At 39.0% G+C, this 24820-nt stretch overlaps 1 long non-coding RNA gene across 1 annotated transcript; it reads left to right on the top strand.

Moving 5' to 3' along the window:
- On the top strand, positions 1–24820 carry LOC107984098 (uncharacterized). Its single transcript, XR_001742553.2, has 2 exons — positions 1–76; positions 24221–24820. It is a non-coding gene; the product is annotated as an uncharacterized LOC107984098 (long non-coding RNA).

The raw sequence follows: 24820 nt of genomic DNA on the forward strand, positions 1-24820 counted from the left end.
GGTATGTTTGCAGGTTTGTTACATGGGTATATTGCAAGATGCCGAGGTTCGAGGTAGGAAAGATCCCAACAACCAGGTAAGGATTATGGTACTCAGGAGTTCTTCAACCCTAGCCCAGCTCCCTCCCTCCCCCATCTAATAGTCCTTAGTGCCTACTGTTGTCATCTTTACTTCCATGAGCACTCCATGGTTAGCTCCCACTTAATGAGAACATCCTGCATTTGCTTTTCTATTCCTACATTAATTTACTTAGGATTCAGATGTGAATTGCCCTCTAATTATAGCTTCAGCTGTATCATTTCTGATTAGGTAATTATCATTTAGTTAAAATGATTTCTAGTTTTCATCAATTTCTTTTTTGGCTCAATGAATATTTTAAAATGTTTTGTTCAGTTCCCAAATACTTGGAGACTTATCTTCTCAAATTAATTTATACCTTAATTTTACCATGGTCAGAATACAAGCTCTCAATCAATTTAGTTCTACAAAATGACAAACATTTTGTGTGTGTTAGAAAAGAATGCATATCCTGTGTTCTTGAGTTGAATATATCTATTCTATCAATTTTGAAAATCATCTAATCTTCTAAATCCTTACTATTTAAAGACTCAAATTTCATGAAGAAAAATTGTGATACTAAATAAACAAAAAGGAAAATCTACATTCATAGATAAAGATTTTAACACAACTCTCTCAGTAATTAGTAGAACCAGTTAGGAATTATATCTATCTGTTGAATTGACTACTTCATCATTATAAAATACCTTTATGTCTCGTTATGCTTTTAGTCTTAACTCATTTATACCTGAGGTGGCAACTTTTTGAATTTGAAAAATCAGACCTAGGCAATGATCTTGAGCAGCAGGAGATAAATAACTCCCACATGCTTAGCGTTCCAATAATGAAACACTTGGCATAAATGAGTTTAAACCCTATTTTGCATGTTATTCAAATATTTACACCAGCTTTTTTCTGCTTATTTGTTGCATGGTATATATTTTCCCATCCTTTTGCTTTCAAATGTAATACTTGTAATGAAAGATATGTCTTTATGGGAGCTTACATTTGTTTTTTTAAATTCAGCCTGGTCATTAATTTAAAAACGGAAATATTTGACTCATTTACATTTAATATGTTTTGTTTTTTTTTCCTTCATCATGACTTTTTTTTTAACCAATTAGGTACTTAAATTTTTTTTCATTTCCCCCTATTTACTTGTTAATTACATAGCATTTAATATTATTGTTGAACTCACAAATGACACGTATTATTTTTAATCTCTTTAATTATACTCTAAGTTTTGGGATACATGTGCAGAACGTGCAGGTTTGTTACACAGGTATACATATGCTGTGGTGGTTTGCTGCACCCATCAACCCGTCGTTTAGGTTTTAAGCCCCACATACATTACGTGTTTGTCCTAATGCTATTCCTCCCTTTGCCCCCAACCCTCTGACAGGCCCCAGTATGTGATGTTCCCCTCCCTGTGTCCATGTGTTCTCATTGTTCAGCTCCTACTTATGAATGAGAACATGTGGTGTTTGGTTTTCTGTTCCTGTTAGTTTGCTGAGAATGATGGTTTCCAGCTTCATCCATGTCCCTGTAAAGGACATGAACTCATTCTTTTTTATGGCTGCATAGTATTCCATGGTGTATATGTGCCACATTTTCATTATACAGTCTATCACTGATGGACATTTGGGTTGGTTCCAAGCCTTTGCTATTATAAATAGTGCTTCAATAAACATACATGTGCATGTGTCTTTATAGTAGAATGATTTATAATTCTTTGGGTATCTACCGAGTAGTAGAATTGCTGAGTCAAATGGTATTTCTGGTTCCAGATCCTTGAGGAATTGCCAGACTGTCTTCCACAATGGTTGAACTAATTTACACTCCCACTAACAGTGTAAAAGCATTCCTATTTTTACACAACTTCTCCAGCATCTGTTGTTCCCTGACTTTTTAATGACCGCCATTCTAATTGGCATGAGATGATATCTCACTGTGGTTTTGATGTGCATTTCTCTAATGACCAGTGATGATGAGCTTTTTTTTAATATGTTTGTTGGCCGTATATATGTCTTCTTCTGAGAAGTGTTTGTTCATATCCTTTGCCCACTTTTTGGTGGGGTTGTGTGCTTTTTTCTTATAAATTTGTTTAAGTTCCTTATAGATTCTAGATATTAGACCTTTGTCAGATGGGTAGGTTGCAACAATTTTCTCCCATTCTCTAGGTTTCCTGTTCACACTGACAATAGTTGCTTTTGCTGTGCAGAAGCTCTTTAAATGTAATTATATCCCATTTGTCAATTTTCACTTTTGTTGCCATTGCTATTGGTGTTTTAGTCATGAAGTCTTTGCTCATGCCTGTGTCCTGAATGGTATTGCCTAGGATCTCTTCTAGGGTTTTTATGGTTTTAGGTCTTATGTTTTTGTCTTTAATCCATCTTGAGTTAATTTTTGAACAAGCTGTAAGGAAGGGGTCCAGCTTCAGTTTTCTGCATATGGCTAGTCAGTCTTCCCGACACCATTTATTAAATAAGGAATCCTTTCCCCATTGCTTGTTTTTGTCAGGTTTGTCAAAGATCAGTTTGTTGTAAACGTGTGGTGTTATTTCTGAGGCCTCTGGTCTGTTCCGTTGATATACATATCTGTTTTGGCACCAATACCATGCTGTTTTGGTTACTGTAGCCTTGTAGTATAGTTTAAATCAGGTAGTGAGATGCCTCCAGCTTCGTTCTTTTGCTTAGGATTGTCTTGGTTATATGGGTCCTTTTTTGATTCCATATGAAATTTAAAGTAGTTTTCTCTAATTCTGTGAAGAAAGTCAATGGCAGCTTGTTGGGAATAGCATTGAATCTATAAATAACTTTGTGGAATATGGCCATTTTCAAGATATTGATTCTTCCTATCCATGAGCATGGAATGTCTTTCCATTTGTTTGTGTCCTCTCTTATTTCCGTGAGCAGTGGTTTGTAGTTCTCCCTGAAGAGGTCATTCAAATCCCTTGTAAGTTGTATTCCTAGGTATTTTATTCTCTTTGTAGCAACTGTGAATGGAGTTCATTCATTATTTAGATCTGTGTTTACCTGTTATTAGTGTATAGGAATGCTTGTGATTTTTGCACATTGATTTTGTATCCTGAGACTTTGCTGAAGTTGCTTATCAGCTTAAGGAGTTTTGGGGCTGAGACAATGGGGTTTTCTAAATATACAATCATGTCATCTGCAAACAGAGACAATTTGACTTCCTCTCTTCCTATTTGAATATGCTTTATTTCTTTCTCTTTCCTAATTGCCCTGGCCAGAACTTCCAATACTACATTGAATAGGAGTGTGAGAGAGAGCATCCTTGTCTTGTGCAGGTTTTCAAAGGGAATGCTTCCTGCTTTTGCCCATTCAGTATGATATTGGCTCTGGGTTTGAAATGAAAACATGTATTCTTTAGTTATTAATATCAACTTTAAATGAAACCTCTAATTTTGTTATAATACCAGGTCTTCCAACAGTACAACTCCATTTACACTATCCCACCTCCTCAACATGCATACCTTTTATGCTGCTGTTGTACAATACTTAAATTCTACATATATTTTAAACCACCTAGATAGATTGATTGTTTTAAGCAGTAACTATTTGTGTAAAAACATCCTTCAATATTGCCCTTAGCGTGACTCTGTCACTAAATGATTTTCTCCCATTTTATTTGTTTGATGATGTCTTTGACCTTCCTTCCTGAAGACTCCTCATTCTCAATATTTTTCTTAGTTAGAGACTGATACTGTGACAGTGTTAAGGTTTCTATTGTCTCGGCTCATGTAAGACATCATTGCATTTCATTTTCGTTTCCACTGGTTCTACGGAGAACTCAGCTGAGTCCAAATGCTGTCTCTTTTGAAGGAAATATGTCAGTCTACCTGTCCGGGTTTAAGAGTTCCTCCCTACATTTGATTTTTAGAAGTACTACTGTGATGTCCATAAGTCTCCTTCCTTTGCTTATTTTTAGTGGGGTTTTCCTCGTTTATCCTGTTTGAGATGTGTGCAGCTTCACGGATCCTTAGCAGGGGATCTTTTGCCAGTTTTGGAACATTCTCAGTTAAAATATTTTTTGAACACTTCGGCAAATTCTTCCTTACCTTTCCTTCTGGATTCTAATTACAGGTACCTTTTACTTTTACACTATGCCGCATATTTATCTTAATTTTTTTCTGTACTTTTTCTTGCTTTAACCTAGATGTTTTCTACTGACCAATCTTCCAGTTAATAAATCGTCTTTAATTGCATATTCATTTTACTTTAAACACATCTTCTAAATTTATAATTTTATAAATTATATATTTGTTCAATGATACAACATTTATTTTCAGGATATTGGCCTCCAAAATCCTGGCTGAATTTCCCATGTTTTCAAACAGTCTTCCTTCTTTCTTCCCTTTTATTTATTTAAAAAGAAATTTTCCTACCTTTATGCTAGTCCTTGATTGGAGGGCTGGGCTAATACAAGCTACCTGATTGTAGTCAAATGAATTAGAAAGTCAACAGAAAAACAGGAGTGTGGTGGCAGTAGTTTTGCAAGATGACTCAACCAAAAGAGGCAGAGTCAGGGGCTGTACCTAAAACAAATTTCTTACACCAATTTTCCCCTTAAAAATAAATGTGGACTTGTCACCACAAACCCCTCTCAAGAGGGCAGGTGAGGAATCATTGGCTGCGTCCCAGGCCTCATAGGAACACCAGTGCCTAGAGTAGTTGTCTTTGGTGGTAGGAAATGACAGACTTTCTATCAGAGAGGCTTTTATTAAATCACAAATATAACGTAAAAAATTAAAACCAAATGTCAAACCCTACATGTGACAGGATAGCTGGCTCCAGGAGCTTAATGATTAAAGAAGAGAGCGTGTGGGCCCAAGGGTTTTCTTTGAAGGAGAGAAGTAACTGGCGTAAAGGCCCTCAAACTCTCAACTCAGCAGCCAAAAGGAGGCACAGACGCCAAAGACCTCAAGCATTTTCTGAAGGACGGGAAAGCAGTGGGGAATAATATTGGGCTCCTGGGTCTTACACACATGGCATGACTCCTTATGCCAGGGGTGCACTCATTTCTAAGCCTGTCTTAGAACTGGCAGGTGTCAGAATGAGAACTATGTAAAGATTTGAAAGTATTTAATGATTTTATCTCTTGCAATGCCTGCTATCTTCATATATTTAAAATATTTCCATCACAAAAGCAACCAGATGGCATTGCCAAGATGGACATATAGGATGAAGCACTATGGGAAGGTTCTGAGAGGGCCTTCGTCGAAGTTCACTGCTGAGCTTGAGCTCTGTTGGATTCTGGGTGAAGTTCACTGCTGAGCTTGAGCTCTGTTGGGTTCTGGGGTGGGGGCTCAGATACAGGGAGAGTTTGACCTTCCAGGAATGCTCCCTGACTGGGGGCCATCAGTGCTGGTCTCCAGGTGACGGGCTACCAATCCGCTGTTGGCACCAATGATAAATTGGCTGTGCCAGCCCCCTTCCTTCATTCCCAGGAAGCTCCGATAAAGGTTGTCAGCTCCTGGAATGCATTTTTTAGTACAGTTACCTATTGCCTGTGGGCAGATGTTTTAATTTCAACCAACTTAGAGGACACTATCATTTAAAATACTGATCAGACCATCCTGTATAATACGTAATTTATGAGAAATGAACTTCGAACTTTGTTAAGCAATTTGATATAAAACCTGTAGGGCACATTCTTGCCATTTCTACAAATAGTAACTGTGAGTAAGAGCAGAAGATGTGGTCAGGAAGTGAGTGCTCATTCAGGTAACCTCGGTGACCCTTACAGCGCTGAGAGGAACCTCTGCTCTGTGGCATCTCCAAGGGTGGAAGATTGGACATTCAACCAGTGTTTCGGTTTGTGGGATGAAACGTTAGCAATTGCAAAATCTTTGACTAGGAAGGTTTCATGGGCAAGCTTGATAAATTGTTCCAGGGCTAAGAAACAGTAAATACTCCTGTTGAAATACTTCACTTTGCTCAAGTTTCCCCTAATTTTTGACACCAGAGACAACATTAAACAAACATGTTCTAACTTCATCTTTTCTCAAGGCCTGGCTATATACACACAATATTTCTGCAGTGTTGCCCTTGTGTTTGCATATTTACCCCCAAAAGCCCAGTGGACATCTGTGAAAATGAATCCCACGTTGGGAAGCTACTGTAACACAAACTTCGCTCAGGAAGTCAGATGTCTGCAAACACAAGAATGTACCTATGTTTCTCAGGTTTAAAATCAAGTTCAACTGCAGGTTGATCTGCCTTTGCAGCATCCTCTGCAGGCTTTATTAAGATGATAAATGCTTTCCAGCCTGCCATGCTTAGCGAACACATGACACATATGAACACACACTATATAGGCTTTCTAGTCTGTACAGCATATATTTATATTATTAATTTCTTTCAATGTTTCTGTATAATGTGTATTTTCTTTAATGATTTAACCTGGATATTTGCTCTAAGACTACCTGCCCACATCGTTACATATTTATTATAATAATATATCACTTTGTAAGCTGTGTTTTTGATATTTGTTTATCATTGTAAATAATGACACAAAATCATCCCACATTACACGGGGACAGCAAGTACTTTAGAACACTAGAAAAACCAGACTGTGGAGCCCTGCCTTTGAAATATGATTTAAAACAGAATTTATAATGTCGCAGAATTACATAAAACTGTGTGAAATTGTGCAGATAATCATTTAAATCTCTCTACATGAAAAGATAATTGCTCCAGAAATTAACTGTACCTGGGGTTCATTCATTTGGTCATGGCTAGTTTCTTATGTAGTGATGATTTGATATCAGAGCTAATTAAGATCGGGTCAGAGTTGGTGAAGGTCAGACATTAATGTGTGGGATCATTGAAATGATAATTATAAACAGATTAGGAAGCCACGGTCCTTTATAAGGGGTTATTAGATAATTACTGTGAGAGTGAACGGCTTACTGTAATAATGGATTATCGACTACTTACAGCGTTTTAAGGGTGAGAGTGTATTCCTTCCTCAAGTACTAAAGAATAACGTTGTTGAAACTCAGAGCTCAGTAAATAAAGTAGAATGGTAGCTCCAGCCCATTTTTCCCTGAAAGGATTTTTATTTTAGGGGATGCCTGTTATCACTGATGTCCTTGCTGTCCTGTGGACAATGATGGCATGTCTTGAGAGGGGTAGGGAAGGAAAAATAGTATTAGGATTCTCTACTGTTAGACAAGGAGAACGAGGAGATGAGGAAGGTTTTGCTTTCCTCTCTGGTTCATTTATTTATAAGCTTTCCTGAATATTGGAAATCCATGAAAGCACAGGGTAGAATGAAAGCCGCTCAGCCCATTTGGCGTCTTCAGGATAGAGGTGCATTTCACCCTGGTGTGCCTTTCACTGGGAACACTCTGACAATGCAATGACATGAGCTATCGGTGAGGCTAACAGACACTGGGCTGCAGAGGAGTCCACATTCAGGACCTGGGGATTATGTGGGACAACTCTTTTCTCATCTGAAATCCTGTGGTGGGCCCCTGTTCACAATGCCTTTGCTTCACGTCTTGCCACAAAGGTGGGCTTTCCAGAAAAATGAGCTCATGCATATAAAGAAATATTCAGGCTCCCTTTAACATACTATCTGACTTAAGTATTCACAACTTTGATAACATGGCCACAATTCCTGCTGAGTCTTCATCTTCTGTGTAATAAAAAGCAGCAACTTTCAACGAATGCTATTTATGATGTGGATCAGGAAAGCAATTGGAAAACATATGGAACGTCATGTTTTAATTCTTTTTCCACCTTGTTAAAACAATTTGTCTCTAGGAGAGATTCCAGGGTCGACCTCGAATTCTAAGGGGTGGGATGGAGTTGCTTTTGTCATCTTTGTGGATTCTTTCTTCAGCGCAGGAGGGGCTGGCACTGCCTGGACGCCTGTTGTGGAAGGGCAGAGACTGTTGGTCATCAGGGGCTTTCTGTCTGCAGGGCCCAGGGCGTGTGAGCATCCACATCGCACCTTGGGCCCAGGCTCAGAGCAGGGCCTTCTGGATCCCTGGCTGCGTGAAGAGGGCTTTGGCCTCAGCAGGATTTGTGTGTTGACACAATGCAGGCTGTACCCTGTTTCTGGCCTGTCGCCATAAAATGCCCAGAATCCAACATGACAGAAATGTGGGTTGAGCATTTTTGCAGAAATGGGATCTGCATCTGGGAATTAAAAGCAAGAATGAGCATCTGAAGCATGATGAGGTATGGACCTCCAGTGTCCCAGCCCCACTGCCTGGACTATCAATGGGCCAGGAAGTTGGGCCCGTTCCAATAGGATGTGAGATTGAGCATACCCTGTGCCAGCCCAGGCATTCCTGATTCCTAGTCATGTCTTCGCTGACCCCTAGTGACCTGGGACACTGCTCCCCATTGGTCCTGACCTAATCACCTTCAAGTCAGCCTTATAGCAGAGTCTCATGTCTCGTTTCTCTCCCATTTCCACTTTTTTTTTCCTTTTTTTTTTTTTTTTTTTTGAGACAGTCTCACTCTGTCACCCAGGCTAGAGTGCAGTGGCACAATCTTGGCTCATTGTGACCTCTGCCTCCTGAGTTCAAGCGATTCTCATGCCTCAGCCTCCTGACATAGCTGAGATTACAGGCATGCACCACCACGCTCAGCTAAGTTTAGTATTTTTAGTAGAGATAGGGTTTTGCCATGTTGGCCAGGCTGGTCTCGAACTCCTGATCTCAAGCAATCTACCCGCCTCGGGCTCCCAAAGTGCCAGGACTACAGGGGTGAGCCGCCATGCCCAGTGCCATTTCTGCTTTCTCTGTAGGTATGCTTAGTGTTTCCAGTAATCAAAGGAGGGTGAAAACAGCAGTGAACGGGGGCGCAGGTAATTGGGAGTACATTCATTTGCCTTGGTCTGTACATTAGTTGAGAAGGGTTGGTTGCCTATGGAAGAGTATGTGGCAGTCTCCGTCATTTGTATTCTTTTGAGGTTGCCCAGAAGGAGAAGTCATCTTTAGCTGGCCAAGGGAGGATTCCACCTCTAGAGAAGGTCCCTTGAACAGTCGGCTTCGAAGGTACTTCCTGCTTGTGATTTGGGGCGCTCTTCCAACTTCCAGAGAAGGCGAAAACATTTCTCTCTAAGAAGGATGCTTCATCTAGAACAGGGACGTCCAATTTTTTGGCTTCCCTGTGCCGCCTTGAAAAAAGAAGAATTGTCTTTGATCACACATAAAATACACTAACACTGACGATAGCTGATGAATGAGCTAAAAAAAGAATCTCAAAAAAAAATCTCATAATGTTTTTAAAAAGTTTATGAGTTTGTGTTGGGCCACAAAGTTGTCCTGGGCTGCATGCAGCCCATGGGCCACAGGTTGGACAAACTTGAATAGAAGCATGCTTTGCTGGAAACTTCTCCATTATTGAGAGTCTCAAGAAACAGGATTGCAGGAGGCTGGTGTTCTTGACCAGGTCATCTGGACAGCCACAGTTCCACCAAAGCAGGCCTGGAAAGAGAACTACACCGTTATGATGCGGCTCTGTCTGTGAAAGATAATGACTCACCTACCAAATAATTCAGAAGGTTAAAATCTGAAGTTTAACTGCAGTGTTTAAACCCTGCTTTCAAAACAGCACCCCAGAATCTTTGCACCTCACTATGTGGTCCAGGGTGAAACGGAAGGACAGGGAAGTTCACATGACTCAAGGTGAACCTCTTCCAATCACAGGCATAAATTACTGGTGCTTTGACACTGTGGTTCCTGGGTCAACGTGATGCTATTGTGACTTGTTCATGATTTTTTTAGTTGACATATCATAATTATACGCACGAGACACAATGTGATATTTATATATGTGTAAACAATGTGTAATAATGAAATCATGGTAATTAGCATAGCCATCACCTCAAAAATTTATTATTTCTTTGTGTTGGGAACTTTCAAAATCCTTTTTCTAGCTATTTAAAAACACACAACAAATCACTGTTGACCATAGTCACCCTGCTGTGCTAAAGAACGCTAGAATTTATTCCTCCTGTCTAGCCATGATTTTTGTATTCCTTTCAAATCCCTCCCTATCTCCCCTTCCCACTACCTTTCCCCCCTTCCCACTACCTTTCCCAGCCTATAGTAACCACTATTCTACTGTCTGTTTCTATAAGAGAGCAACTTTGTAAGCTTATACACATGAGTGAGAACATGCAGTATTTGTCTTTCTATACCTGGCGTCTTTCACTTCGCATAATGTCTTCTAGGCTTATCCATGTTGCTGTGAATGACAGGAATTCATCTTTTTTATGGCTGAATAGTATTCCATTGTGTATATATACCACATTTTCTCTAGCCATTCATTCACTGATAGACATTTAGGTTGATTTAATATCTTGACTATTGTGAATAGTGCTGCAATAAATATGGAAATGCAGATACGTCTTTGACATACTGATTTCCTTTTCTTCAAGTCCCAGCAGTGGGATTGCTGGATCATATAGAAGTTTCATATTTAGTTTTTTTGAGGAAACTCAATACTGTTTTTCATAAGGCTTCACTAATCAACATTCTCATCAATGCTGTACAAGGGTCCCACTTTACATCCTCACCAGCATTTGTTATTGTTTGTCTTTTTTATAATAGCCATTCTAACTGGGGTGAAATTATATCTCCTTATGATTTTGATTTGCATTTTCCTGATGATTAGTGATGTTGAGCATTTTTAAAATATACTTTTTTGGCCATTTGTGTGTCTTCTTTTTAGAGATTCTTGATTAGTTGCCCATTTTAAATTGGATTATTTGGCTCTGGTTTCTCTTAAGTTGGTTGAATTTCATGTATTTTCTAGATATTAATCCTTTGTTGGATGAATAGTTTGCAAATATTTTTTCTCATTCTGCAGGTTGTCTTTTCACTCTATTGATTGTTTGCTGTGCAGAAGATTCTTAGTTTTATATAATCCCATTTGTTTATGTTTTGCTCTTATTTTCTGTGCTATTGAGGTCTTTTCCATGAGATCTTTGCCCAGACCAGTGTTCAGTGTCTTGTGTGTTACCTATGTTTTCTTCTAGTAGTTTTGTAGTTTTGGGTCTTTCATTTAAGTCTTTTATCCATTTTGAGTTAATTCTTATATATGGTGAGAGTTAGTGGCTTATTTTTGTTCTTTTGCATATCGATATCCAATATTCTCAGTACCATTTATTGAAGTTATTGTTCTTTCCCCCAGCGTGTCTTGTTGGAATATTTGTTGAAAATCTGTCGGCTGTAAATATGTGAATTTATTTCTCAGTGCTCTATTTTGTTCAATTGGTCTGTGTGTCTGCTTTTATGCCAGTACCATGCTGTTTTGGGTGCTATAATTTGTGTCTGTTTTTATGCCAGTACCATGCTGTTTGGGGTACTATAATTTGTAATATATTTTGAAGTCGTGTAGTGTGATATCTCCACCTCTGACCTTTATTCTCATCTTCATTATTTCTTTTCTTCTACTAATTTTGGGTTTAGTTTCTTCTTGCTTTTCTAGTTCCTTGAGGTGTACTATTAGGTTGTATATTAAAATCTTTACTTTTTGATGTAGGTGTTTATTGCTATAAACTTTGAAAAGTACTGCTTTTTGCTGTATTTCATAGGTTTTGGTATGTTTTGTTTCTATTTCCATTTGTTTCAGAAAACTTTTAAATTTTCCTCATCGCTCAGAAATGCTTTAGCTATTCAGGGTCTTTTGTGAGTCCAGATAAATTTAAAATTTTTTTCTATTTATGTGAAGCATGCCATTGGTATTTTGATAAGGATTGCACTGAATCTGTAGATTGCTTTGGATAGTATAATCTTTTTAACAATGTTAATTTTTAATACACAAACATGAGACCTCCTATTTTTGTGTACTCATCTATTTCTTTCACCAGCATTTCTTTCATAGTTATTATTTTAAAGATCTTCCACTTCCATGGTTAAATTTATTCCTAGATATCTTTTTCGTAGCTATTGTAAATGAGATTGCTTTCATGACTTCTTTTTTGGCAGTTTATTATTGGTATATAGAAATGCTACTAATGTTTGCACATTGATTTTGTGTCCTGCAACTTTACCAAATTTGTTTATTAGTTCTAAGAGTTTCTTGATGGAATCTTTAGGTTCTTTCTATATGTCAGATCATGCCATCTGCAAAGAGAAACAATTTGGCTTCCTCCTTTTCAGTCTGGATGGCCTTTATTTCTGTCTCTTGTCAAATTGCTCTGGCCAGGAGAGTACTATGTTTAATAACAGTGATGAAAGTGGACATCCTTGTATTGTTTCAGTTCTTAGACAAAAAGTTTTCAACTTTTTCCTATTCAGCATGATGTTAGCTGTGGACTTGTCATGTATGGTTTTTATCATGTTGAAGTATATTCCTTCTGTGTCTAGTTTGCTGAGAGTTTTTATTATGAAGAATGTTGAATGTTATCAAATCTTTTTTCTTCATCAATTAAGATGATCATATAATTCTTACCCTTCATTCTGTTGATGTGATGTAGCACATGTATTGATTTGCATATGTTGATTTGCATATTTACATTGCTAGGATAACTTCTTGATCATAGTGTATGATCTTTTTGATGTGTTGTTGGATTCACTTTCCTGGTATTTTGTTGAGAGCTTTTCTATCTATGTTCATCAGGAATATTGGCCTATAGTTTGTGTGTGTGTTTGTCTTTGTGTGGTTTTTGTGTCAGGGTAATTCTGGCCTCACAGAATGAGTTTGGCAGAATTTTCTTCCCTTCAAATACTTGGAATAGTTAGAGAAGAATTGGTGTTAGTTCTTCTTTAAAAGTTTGGTAGTATTCAATTGTGAAGCCATCGGGTACTTGGTTTTTCTTTGTTGGGAGACATTGTATTATTGATTCAATCTCATAACTTACTGTTGGTTTGTTTAGGTTTTCTGTTTCTTCTGGGTTCAATCTTGATAGCCTATATGTGTCCAAGAATTTATTCATTTTCTCTAGGTGTTCTAATTTGTTGGCATATAATTGTTTATAATAGTCTCTGATGAGCCTTTGTCTTTCTGTGGTATTAGTTGCAATATCTGCTTTTTTGTTTCTGATTTTATTTGGTTCTTTTCTCCTTTCTTCTTAGTCTAGCTAATGGTTTGTCAATTTTGTCTATGTAAAAAACACTTTTTATTGTATTTGTTATTTTGCATGTTTGAGACTTAATTCTGTTTATTTCTACCCTGGTCTTTATTATTTTTTTCTTATACTAATTTTGGGTTTAGTTTCTTCTTGCTTTTCTAGTTCCTTGAGGTGCACCATTAGGTCATATATCTGAAATCTTTACTTTTTGATGTAGGCATTTATTGCTATAAACTTCTCTCTAAGTACTGCTTTTGCTTTATCTTATAGGTTTTGGTATGTTTTGTTTCTACTTTTATTTGTTACAAAAACTTTCAAATTTTCTGAATTTCTTCAATGGCCCAATGGTTGTTGAGGAGCCTGTTGTTTAATTTCCGTGTCTTTGCCCAGTTTAAAAAGTTCCTTTTGTTATTGATATCTCGTTTTATTCCACTGTGGTCCGTAAAGATAGTTGACATGGTTTTGATTTTTAAGAAAATGGTTGAGACTTATTTCGTGGCCTAACACATGATCTATTCTAGAGAATGTTCCGTGTGCTGCTGAGAATGTATATTCTGTAGCTGTTGGATGAAATGTCCTATAAATGTCTGTGAGGTCCATTTGTTATATAGTGCCGCTTAAAGCGGATGTTTCTTTGTTAATTTTCTGTCTAGATGATCTGTTCAATACTTACAGTGAAATGTTGAAATCCTCAACTATTATTGTATTGGAGCATATCTCTCCCTTTAGATCTGATAATATTTGCTATTTGTATCTGGGTGCTCTGGTGTTCCTTGCATATTTATTTACAATTGTTATATCCTCTTGCACAAATCCCTTCATTATATAATGCCCTTCTTTGTCTCTTTTTACAGTCTTTGACTTAAAATCTACTTTGTCTAAGTACAGTTATACTTTGGAGATACTGAGGGTTCAGTTCCAGAACATTGCAATAAAGTGAATATCACGATCAAACAATCAAACCAAAGTTTTTCTTGGTTTTCTAGTACATGAAAGAGTTATGTTTACTCTATACTGTCATCTATTAAGTGTGTAATAGCATTACATCTAAAAAACATTGTACATATCTTAATTAAAAATTACTTTATTGCTAAATACTGCTAATGCAAAGAAACAAAGATAGCACATGCTGATGGAAAAGTAGGGCCAATAGACTTGCTTAGTGCAAGGTTGCCACAAACCTTCAATTTTTTAAAAATTCAGTATCTGCAAAGTACAATAAAGTGAAACGCAATAAAACAAAATATGCCTGTACAGCGACTCCCACTTGCTTTAGGTTTCTATTTGCATGGACTATCTTTTTTCTCACTTATCTTTCAGTTTATCTGTATTTTCACAGGTGAAGTGTGAGTTTCTTGTAATAGATAGTATATAGTTGGGTCTTTTAAAAGATCCATTTAACTAGTCTACATTTTTTTTAATTGGATAATTTAATTTATTTACATTCATGTTTATTATCAATAAGTAAGAACTTATTTCTGCTGTTTTCTTAATTGGTTTTCTGGTTGTTTTACATATCATTTGTTCCTTTCTTCTTCTCTTATTGTTTATCTTTGCATTTCGTGGTTTTCTGTAGTGATAAGGTTTGGTTCTTTTCTCGTTCTTATTTGTAAATCTGTTCTAACAGTGAGTTTTATACATTCATTTTTGTTTATGATGGTAGTTATCATCCTTTCACTTTCATATGTATGATTTCCTTACACATTTCTTGCAAAACAGGTTTAGCGGTGATGATTTCTCTCAGTTTTTGCTTGTCTTGGGAAGACTAATTTTCATTCATTCTGAAAATAGCTTTGCTCGGTATAGCCTTCTTAGTTGAAAGAATTTGTTTGTTTGTTTTTACACTTTTAATATACTAACCCAATCTCTCTTGGCCTTTAAGGCTTCTACTGATAAATCTGCTGATAGCCTAATGAGAATTCCTTTAAATGTGACTTGATGCTTTTTTCTTGCAGTTTTTAGAATTCTCTCTTCGTCTTTCACTTTTGGCTATAACATGTTTGGCTATAACAGTTTGACTATAACATGCCATGGAGAGAAAATTTTTGGATTATATATGGGGAATTTTCAGCTTTTTTGATCTGGTTGTTCATATCTCTGCCAAGACTGGGGAATTTTTCAGATATTATTTTATTAAATATCTTTACTATAACTTTTTCTATCTCTTCTTCTTCAGAAGAATTTTGGCCATTTCCCAAAGTGCAAGTATTTGTTTGCTTAACGGTGCCCCATAAGTCCCATTTAAAAAAAAAGTTTCTTTACTTTTTTATTTTTTTATTTTTTTTTGTCTGATTATGTCATTTCAAAAAGTTTGTCTTCAAGCTCAGAAATGTCTTCTTTTACTTCATCTAGTCTGTTCTGTAAGGTCTCAATTGTATTTTTTATTTCATTCATTGAATTCCTCACCTCAAAGGTTTGTTTGATTTTTTTCTAATAGTTCCTATCTCTTTATGGAATTTCTTATTCAAAACATAAGAAATTTGATTTCCTGATTTTGTTAAATCATCTACCTGTATTCTCTTGTGTCTTAGTGAGTTTCCTTAACATTATTATTTTGAATTTGTTTTCAGGCATTTCATAGATTTTCTTTTCTTTGGGAGTATCTTACTGGAGAATTATTGTGTTTCTTTTGCTATGGCTTTTTATTTCTTTTTGCCTTTTCATGTTTCTTGAGTCTCTATGTTGATATCAACACACCTTGTGGAACATCTACTTCTTTCAATTTTATGGGGTAGCTTCCATATGGTAAGACTTTTTCTTAGAGATGTGTTCTACAGCATCGGTTGGGTAGCATGCTTTGGCTTTCATTCTGAGTGGGTACATTATATAGTCTCTATGTATTTCTTTGGCTATAATCAATGTAATTTCTTTGGCTATCATCAATGTCAGTGGTGTCTGTGAGTATTTTAGTGGCCTAGAATGTAGGTATTTGTGGAGGCAAGACTTTGCTGGGGAAAGGGGCAACCAGGTAGGCCAGTTCTCAGGCCCTGGGTGAGTGCATGCCAAGTGTGATGGCTCCACTGGTTGTGGGGGCAGGGCAGGATCATTGGCAGTGGGGGCCCCGGTCAGGTGAGTAGTTGGACCCTGGGAAGCACATGCAGTGTGTGATGGCTTTACCAGTTGAAGCGTCAGAGTCACCACTGGTGATGGGCATTGGGCGGCCAGTCCTCAGTCCCTGGGGAGCACACATGTTAGTTTCCTCAGTCTTGGGGGTGGCCTTCCCACTGTTCTTGATTGCTTTTTTTTGGTTGGGGGGCGATGAGGGGGTGCAGGATGCTGTGTGGGCTTCAGTGCCAGAGTCACAGTTGTACTTCTGGATCTAACTGGGGTTGTGTAATTATAGCCTGTTGTGTGGGTTTGGTGAGAATAAGTCAGGCCCTCAGAAATGTGGAGATGCAGGGGCTATTAACTCCTAGGGCAGGATGCATTCTAGCCATAGTTTTGTTCCAAAAATGGCATTGTGCTGTGGCAGCTTGGATCCTGGGTAGTGGGGGGTGACTAAGTGTTAGTTCATTCCCTGGAGTGATGGAGCTGTGTGAACTCTAGGCAGTTCTCTACACTGGGCTCAGAGCCTGTGAGGGTTGAGTGGCCCTGTTGTGGCTAGGATTGCATGTGTCCATGGTGGTAGTTGAGAGTTCTGGGAATCTCCAGCTTACCTTTTCCAATCAGGGGGATTCCCGCTTGGTACCAAGCTGATCTTAGCTGAGGACTTCGCTTCCCTCTCTATGGTGCCATCCTGAGTTTCTGTCCTTCAAAGGGTTTTCATCACTTCCTAGCTGAATTCCAGTGTTCTCTCTCAGACACCACTCAAAATGTAGTTGCTTATTTGTTATTTTCGTTCTTCTTTGTGGAGACATGAGTGGTGGGAATCTCTTTAGCCATTTTGATGACATAATCAGTGACATGCCTGGTTTTGGGAGTCCCCAGGTCAGAGTTATGTCTTTTTGATGGCTAAAAATAGGCAGCACCTAATGCCAACTTTTATGACTGTCAAGAAAAGAGGAAAACCTGGATTGTTGAGGTCCAGGGTGTCCCTCTTTCCTTGTATAAATGGTACTCAGAAAGCCACAAAGGAAATGAAAGACAACTCTGCTTGAGGTTGAAGAGAAAGGCTGAGGAGGATAAGTTGAAGATTTACTGCAACCTGGAGCCTCTGGTGAAGCCACTGGCCCTTCTGCCACCTTTTTCCCACACAACTTTATTGTTTAAATGTTACACCAACCTCAAAGGTCAACGTTTGCAGATCTTCCTTGCCGGGACTCACACTCTGCTGTCTTGCAACCCAGCATTTCTCAGGGAGCTTGCCAAGGAAAGGCCATGCCAGTCAGTAATCTGGCTGCAAATTTGCAAGAAGATCAAACAAAATGCAATGTTTGGGATAGCTTTTCTCTTTCTGTGTGGTGTGCAGAGGCTGAAAAATCACCGTAGCTTACTGTGGCAAGAAAGAATGTGCGTATATGAAGAAAATGCTTCTTGGGGAATTATATTTCAGGAGTAAGCAGATCATTTGATACCTGGATTTTGGGCCTCCTGGCTAAGAGTCCTGGCTGAGTTCACCACCTTGAAACCACAATCTGGGTCACAATACTGCATGCCTCATGAGCAAAGGGAGGGTGTATGTAGGCAGGCTGTATAAGTGTCAGAGTGGAGACAAACTATCTTTGTTTCTAGAATCTCAGAGAGCATCTTGGGAAGCAGAGTTCTTTGTTGCCGGAAGTCAAAAAAAGCAAGATCCAAGTTGACTATGACCTCTATGGTCTATTCAGGAAGGTCTGTCAGAACTACACCATCCACCCTCTAGCTGGCTTATTCCTGTGCATATAGAATGTCTGTGCTGTGTCTGATCAGAACCATTCCCTCTTCACTTTCTAACACATTTTCCAGGCAGGCAAGGATCCCAGATGAGAACCAGAATATCTGTGGACTTAGGGTATCTGTCTCTGCTAGAGGCCTGACCATGTCCTAGCAGTTCATTCACAGGGGCCAAAAAGTTAGGGAGGCCATTTTTGGTCTCCAAGATAAATGTGTTCCCTAAAATGTTTGTGCACTGCATCTTTGATCTGTTTCAGGTCACCAAATTGAAAAAATCTTGGCAAGGATTCAGAGAGAATTATAACCTAGAGTTAGCCTTTCAAAGGCTGTGACCTAAGAACCCAGCAGTAGCCATGTAATGGTTTGTAGAGAATGGCATGGAGTCTGGATTAGTCACGATTTTCCAGAGAAACAGTATATTGGCTCACATAGTTAAGGAGGGGAGAAATTTTACAGTCTGTCTGCAAGGCTGGAGACCAGGGGAAGCTACTGCAAATCAAGAGGCCTGAAAATCAGGTGGCTGATGGTTTCAGCCCACATCTGAGTTCAAAGACCCAAGAACCAGGAGCACCTGTGTCTGAGGGCAGGCTAAGATCATTGTCTCAGTTCAGAGAGAACAAATTCCCCTTTCCTCTGCCTTTTTGTTATATTTGCGTTCTCAACAGATTGGACATATATGCCATCTACATTGTTGAGGGTTGGTCTTCCTCACCTCAGTCCATGGATTTAAATCCTCATCTCTTCTCAAACCCTGACAGATACACCCAGAAATAATGTTTTACCAACTATCTTGAGTATTCGTTAGCCCAGTCAAGTTGACAGAATTAACTATCACAGAGTTCAGCTTTTTAGAAGCATTGAAGTATTTATAAAATTCTAATTGTTTTGCACCCACCGAATGCAAGCATTTTCAATTTTTTTCCCAGACTATTTGGCACAATGTAGACAACTTCTGAGCACTGGGGAATACGCCTTCTCCTATCATTTGCCCTGGGGCATGGACCTTTTGCCCTGGCAAGTTTCATAACATTTTAATCCTTTCCCTTCCTCAACTGTGTGATGGTGACCACAATGCATCAGGAAAGTCCTAGTAAGAAAGACCCTTCAATATCTGGCTTGATGTCACCAAGATGTGCAAATATAAAAACAACACAATGTCAAGTTACCGTTCTGGAAGGGAGTGAGAGCTGTGGTGGGCAGCTGGAGAGGAGGCAGGTCAACCTCTTGTTGACACCTTCCTGCCAAGGTGAGGCTTTCTTGGTAATTCTCTTGTCCCAAGAGAAAGGACACACAGAAGCAATGGTTCGAGACATGTGCTTTTTCTTCACGCAAAGAAAAGTGAGTTGTGACAGATCACCCTCACATAAGTGAAAATAAATGTGGCTTTTACAGTAACATTAACAAAAATTGAAAATAAAAAGGATCATTAGTCAAAAATGCAGGTGACATAAAGTATCATACTAAATGATTGATGAAGCAAAAAATATTGCAAGAATCTATTTCACCACAACAAGGGGCATTTATTTCTCTACTTGGAGAGTTCGTGGGGAATAATTGGAGTTTCCCTGAGACACTTACCTGTCTTTTGATGTTTACTGAATGTGTTTATTAAAACTCACATCACACTTTCAGTGGAAATCATTTTTTTCTTGATTCACCTCAAGTGATCTCAGGCATGGAAATATGGAAAATGTTATATGAAGTTTTATGGAAATTGTTATATAAAGTTCCATACACAAATCACTGAATTATTTACTTTGTTGCAGCCATTTCTGGAGACAAATGGAGTTTCCCAGCATGTGTGGCTCCTACAGGTCCCTGGAGGCCAGCTGGGCAGAAAACGTGGGAGAAGCCATGGAGAACCCACTGCTGGGCTGGCTGGCTGCCAACATTCACTGCAGAAACAACATGATGTTTTCTGCCTAATTAGCAGTGATATAAAGAGTGACTGAGAGAAATGTGAGGGTCTCAGTGTCTGAGAAGGGGTCCCCCACTTGAATTGGACAGACCCCACTTTCCTCCTTAAATTCACGTGCTTATGTGTCCACCCCAGATGTCCTCTTTGCCTCTAAACAATTAACTCCGATAAACTAAGTCATAAAACCCAATGCTTCATTTTTTAAATTGTGGACATATTATTATGAGTATTTATTACATGTGTGTGCACACCAAAATGCAGGTGGGGATGAAAAATGTGGCTAAATGCAACCCCACCTCTGGAAAAACTAAACCAGGTTAAAATGAAGTCCTATTTTAGTCTTAATTTAGTTTTAGCAGCATGTTCTTTCTGTGGCAGACACTGGATGGTCAGTGGTTTAGTGGCGGGATCATTTGCTGGCCATCCGCCCCTGGAATTCCTGGGACCAGTTATGCACCAGCAGTTAACTGGACAGTTCCAGTGCTCTGCTTTTCTGTGGGCCTCCATGGAATAGCATGTGTCTACTTTGCAGAGGGCCCGTGGGATGTGGCCAGGCCAGCTGATGGTCTCACAAAGACAGGCTTGCTCTGAGTCCATGTGTATTAGTCTGTTTTCATGCTGCTGATATCCAATACTGGATAATTTATACAGGAAAAAGGGTTTAATGGACTTACAATTCCACATGGCTGGGGAGGCCTCACAATTATGGTGGAAGGTAAAAGGCACTTCTCACATGGTGGCAGACAAGAGAAGAAGAAAGCTTGTGCAGGGAAACTCCCCCTTTAAGACCATCAGATCTCATGAATCTTATTCACTATCATGAGAACAGCATGGGAAAGACCTGCCCCTATGATTCCATTACCTCCCACCAGGTTCCTCCCACAATACCTGGGAATTCAAGATGAGACACAGCCGAACCACATCATCATGGGAGGGGCAAGAATCTCTGCAGACTGGCTGGGCTTCCTAGTTAGCCTTAGCTTATCCCTGGAGACTCCAGAAGCAAAGAGGGCACGTACCCTGATGTCCTCTCAACTCCTGATTCCTTTTCCTCTTGAGTTTAGAAACTGTATGAGGAGTGACATCTCCCTTTACTCAGTTTTGGTATCTAATGTAAGACTTAGCTATAACAAATTAGCTTCTCTTAGGGTTTTCCCACTTTTGAAGTCTGCTGATGATAGACATTTTATTGAGGAGAGTATGAGAGTCAAAAATTCCAAATGCTATGAGAAACCCAGGAGAGCATGGAGGAAAATAAGAGCAGCTACTATTTGCTAGTGACAAAGTTTGTCCCAGGCAAGACAGTAGAGGCTTTGCCTGTGTTATCTTAGGTCCAGATGCTTGGGGAAGTCTAAGGAGGCTTCACAAGTTAATGGCCTTAGCTCTGAGAAGAATGGTTGAACAGGAGGATGAAGGACAACCGAAACCAAGTGAGCAGAGCAGGAGACAGGAGCTCACCCTTAGCATCCTACTCCTGAGTCAGGCCAGGCCCTTGGGCACTGGCTTTCCTCTGAGCTTCCTAGGATGCTGGGATGGCTTAGGAGGCGGAACCCTGCATTAGTCCAGCTCTAACAACAGTGTCCTTGCGATAGGAATTCCTGAGTGTCCAAAACACTTTGGAAGAGTTGAGAAAATGTTTATATTAGAGCTCATGTCTTTCTTGTTAAAATTTTATTCACTCAAAATCAAATTATTTTGTTACAGATGGGGACTGAAATTTGGCAAAAATTGGCCAAATATACAGTGGTATTTGGATGTTATCTTGAAATTCATATAATTTAAATCATTCTGTCAGGGACCTTTAATAATTATTGCAGCTCCAAAAAGACTGTATGGTTCCAGAAAAATGAGGAGTGTCTTTGTGCACATGGTAACATTGATGCAGGACTTTTTGCTCCTTAGTTCAGCTAAAATCCTGGTTCTTGTCTCATGACCAGGAAAAATTTGGCACACAGACACATTTAAAGGTGAGGAGGGCAGAATTTATTAAGCAAAATAAAAGCTCTCAACAAAAAGAGGGGACCTGCATGCTGGTTTTCCACCTCACAAAATCGAACACCAGGTTGCCACACACAAGTTGAAGAGGCCGAGCTCCTCCCCAGCATAAGGCACGATTTCCTGGTGGCTCCACCTGCTCCGCCAGTGCACATGCTGGCATGCCCAGGTAAGCCGTAGGTAGTATCAGAAAAGGCAGCATTTGATTGGTTAAAAGGCATTATTCAGAAAGAATCAATTGGGAGTGGGCGGGCAAACAGAAGCAGTTCTTCCTCTGGATCTGGGGTTTCATCCGGGACCAGCAGTCAGGTCTTTCAGCCCTCATGCTGTTTCAGGCTTAAAGGTGGGTTTCATGAAGAACTGTTCGCTATCTGCCCAGGCATTTGTCTCCTTCTGCCTCTACCAACATGGACAATTGACTTCCTGTTCCATCATTTATTGGTCCACGTTCCTTTTAACCCAGAGTAAAACAAAGCATAGCCTTTTATCAAGGAGACCTACACAGAGATGCCCAGCATTTTTCACAGTGTGTTGTAATGAACATAAATACTCTGGACTCACAGATTCAATTGCCAAATAAATTTGGGAGGAGCATCTTATGAAAGTTCTGTCTTAGAGATTCATAGTGCAGGCCAGCATACTGAAGATATGAATCCCTGTAATATATAACTAAGCAATTTTGTGAATCTCCTCATTCCTCTAAATTCTTTGACAGTGGAACACTTACTAATGTAAAACATAGAAACTCCACAAAATGGTGTGTTTTTAAATTGCACCCTGGGTAATATCTTTTATTTTTAAACCTCCCCACTGAATGGGAAGGACTGTATTTACGTCCGTTTTTGATAGCTTGGGCACATTTCTAAGTGTTAGAACTCTGACACGAAATGATCTCTAAAATCTTGTAATTCTTTCCTTGGGGTTTCCACAGCAGGAAATCTCTTGCTGATTCCAACCAGGTGGCTCCATGGGAGAATTGTTCTTATGAATTCACTTTGACTTTTTATTTAGAGACATTTAAGCCATGTGACTATGTGCTTCCTTTATCATTCCACAAGAAACCTATAATTAAATATACTGTGAGAGGTTTAACCCAGCCAAGCCTTAACTGGAGCAGAGCTTTGATACTGAGCAAGACAACCAGTTTCATGGTTACCAGATCACCTTAATGTAAATTAAAAATTTCAGTCATCCATGAGGAGAAGGAATTGCAACCATAGACTCACAACAAAAGCAGACGAAAATTTATACGTTGTTATTAGAAGATTGATGATAGTTTGGATTCAATTAGGAAAAGTTACACATTTCCAAAGTAGCCTTAGCAGACATTTATAATACTTCTTTATGATTTTAACAATAAATGTTTTATGTGGTGCCATTTCTTGATGTCTAAAATTTATTCTGTGTGTTTTTAAGCTTACAGTTGTCAACCTTAAATAGTAATCTAAGAAATCCACCAATGGGAGCTTAAATGTTGAGTTATGATGACTTGTCTAGAATCAATAGATATTATAAAATCTCTCTGTGTGTCTTTCTTTCTTTTTAAAATAGCTACAGTGTTGTTGTTTTTTTTTTTTAACTTGGAACGATAGAAAGAGACCGCATTGCCCAATAAAGACATTGGGTTGAGGACCCCAGGTCTTCTGGTCACGGGGTTGCCCCCCAGGCCTGTTCCAGGGTCTAACGTAGGGGTAGCCCACCCACTTCCTGTTCACATGTCATCTCTCAAGGTGGCGCAGGAGGCAGGAGGCCTGGATTTGCTTCCCTGTTACTATTTACTAGTGATGTGATTTTGTGCAGAAAGATTGTCTTTCTGAGTCTCATTTTCTCATTTCTAAAATGTGGGTAGAAATACAGTCTTTCTCCTGAAAGGTGGGGGCAAAATCAAGTGATTTTATGACTCTCTTGTCTAGCTCCATGAGCTGTAATATTATTGAAGAAATTAGATGAAATAAATTAGACCGAAACTGTAAACAGTTCGTAACTGGCTTAATATTTCAACTCTTGGAACACATAAATTCAGATGTACAGTTTGCTAAGCCATGCCTGCAAAAGTTCTGCTGTTGGTAGCCTCCTCCCAGATCTCAAAAATATGCTCTGCTTCCATTTAGTTCAGCTTTGCTTTATCTGAGTCAACAACGGCAGAAAAAGCTGAAATAGTGTCCCTTCAGCAGCTGAAAGTTCTGCCTGTCTATCCATTCCCATTATCAAGTCCCTATTTAATTAAGGAAACACTTTCAACGTGGTGTATCTACAAAGCAAAATGCTTTTATAGTGTAAACTTTGGGTTCCTCCATGATTGATTCTTTATGTGCTTGATTGATGCATGTTGGAGTATTCTGAAACCTGTAAGTCACTCATCAATCCTCTTTTTAGTTTCAAGGGCCCTAGCCTCAGAAAACTGCATCAATGTCTTCTGAACGGCCATCAAGCTCAAAGCCCTGCTCGTTTCTTCAGGAAAGCTTATTAACAAATACATTCAGCACAGCTTGCAGGAAGCAGCAAGTTTCATGTAGAGTACCACGGCGTCATCATGCAAGTGTCTGTCTGAGCATGGCCAGTAAGAGAACTGGTGGTTTCGGTCCATGAAAGAGCTGGGGTTCCTGGAAGTTTTTGGAATGCCTGGCCACGACATTGGTTGGAGTCTGACTGGGCCCCATGCAGAAAATGCCACACTCTGCTGAGCTGACATCTTTGTGTTCTGCTAGGAGGCCCAGGAATTCATAAAAGAAAAGAACTAAGGCACTTGAAAATTTCGAAGGTAAAACTGTCACCCGTGCAAATCAAATCAAAATTAATAATGTTTTTCTGACTCAATGCAAAAGGCGAAAACACCAATTTAGTTGTTGCTGCGGCTGCTTTTCATGCAGTGCTTTAGAGTTACAGATCCCACATGTGGTTGAAAACCGGTTACTTTCCTGTTGGCTTAAACTCAAAGGCATTTGTATGTGTGCTAAAAACATTTCTTACTATGCA

Source organism: Homo sapiens, chromosome 5 (assembly GCF_000001405.40).
Source record: "Homo sapiens chromosome 5, GRCh38.p14 Primary Assembly".
Taxonomy (NCBI): domain Eukaryota; kingdom Metazoa; phylum Chordata; class Mammalia; order Primates; family Hominidae; genus Homo; species Homo sapiens.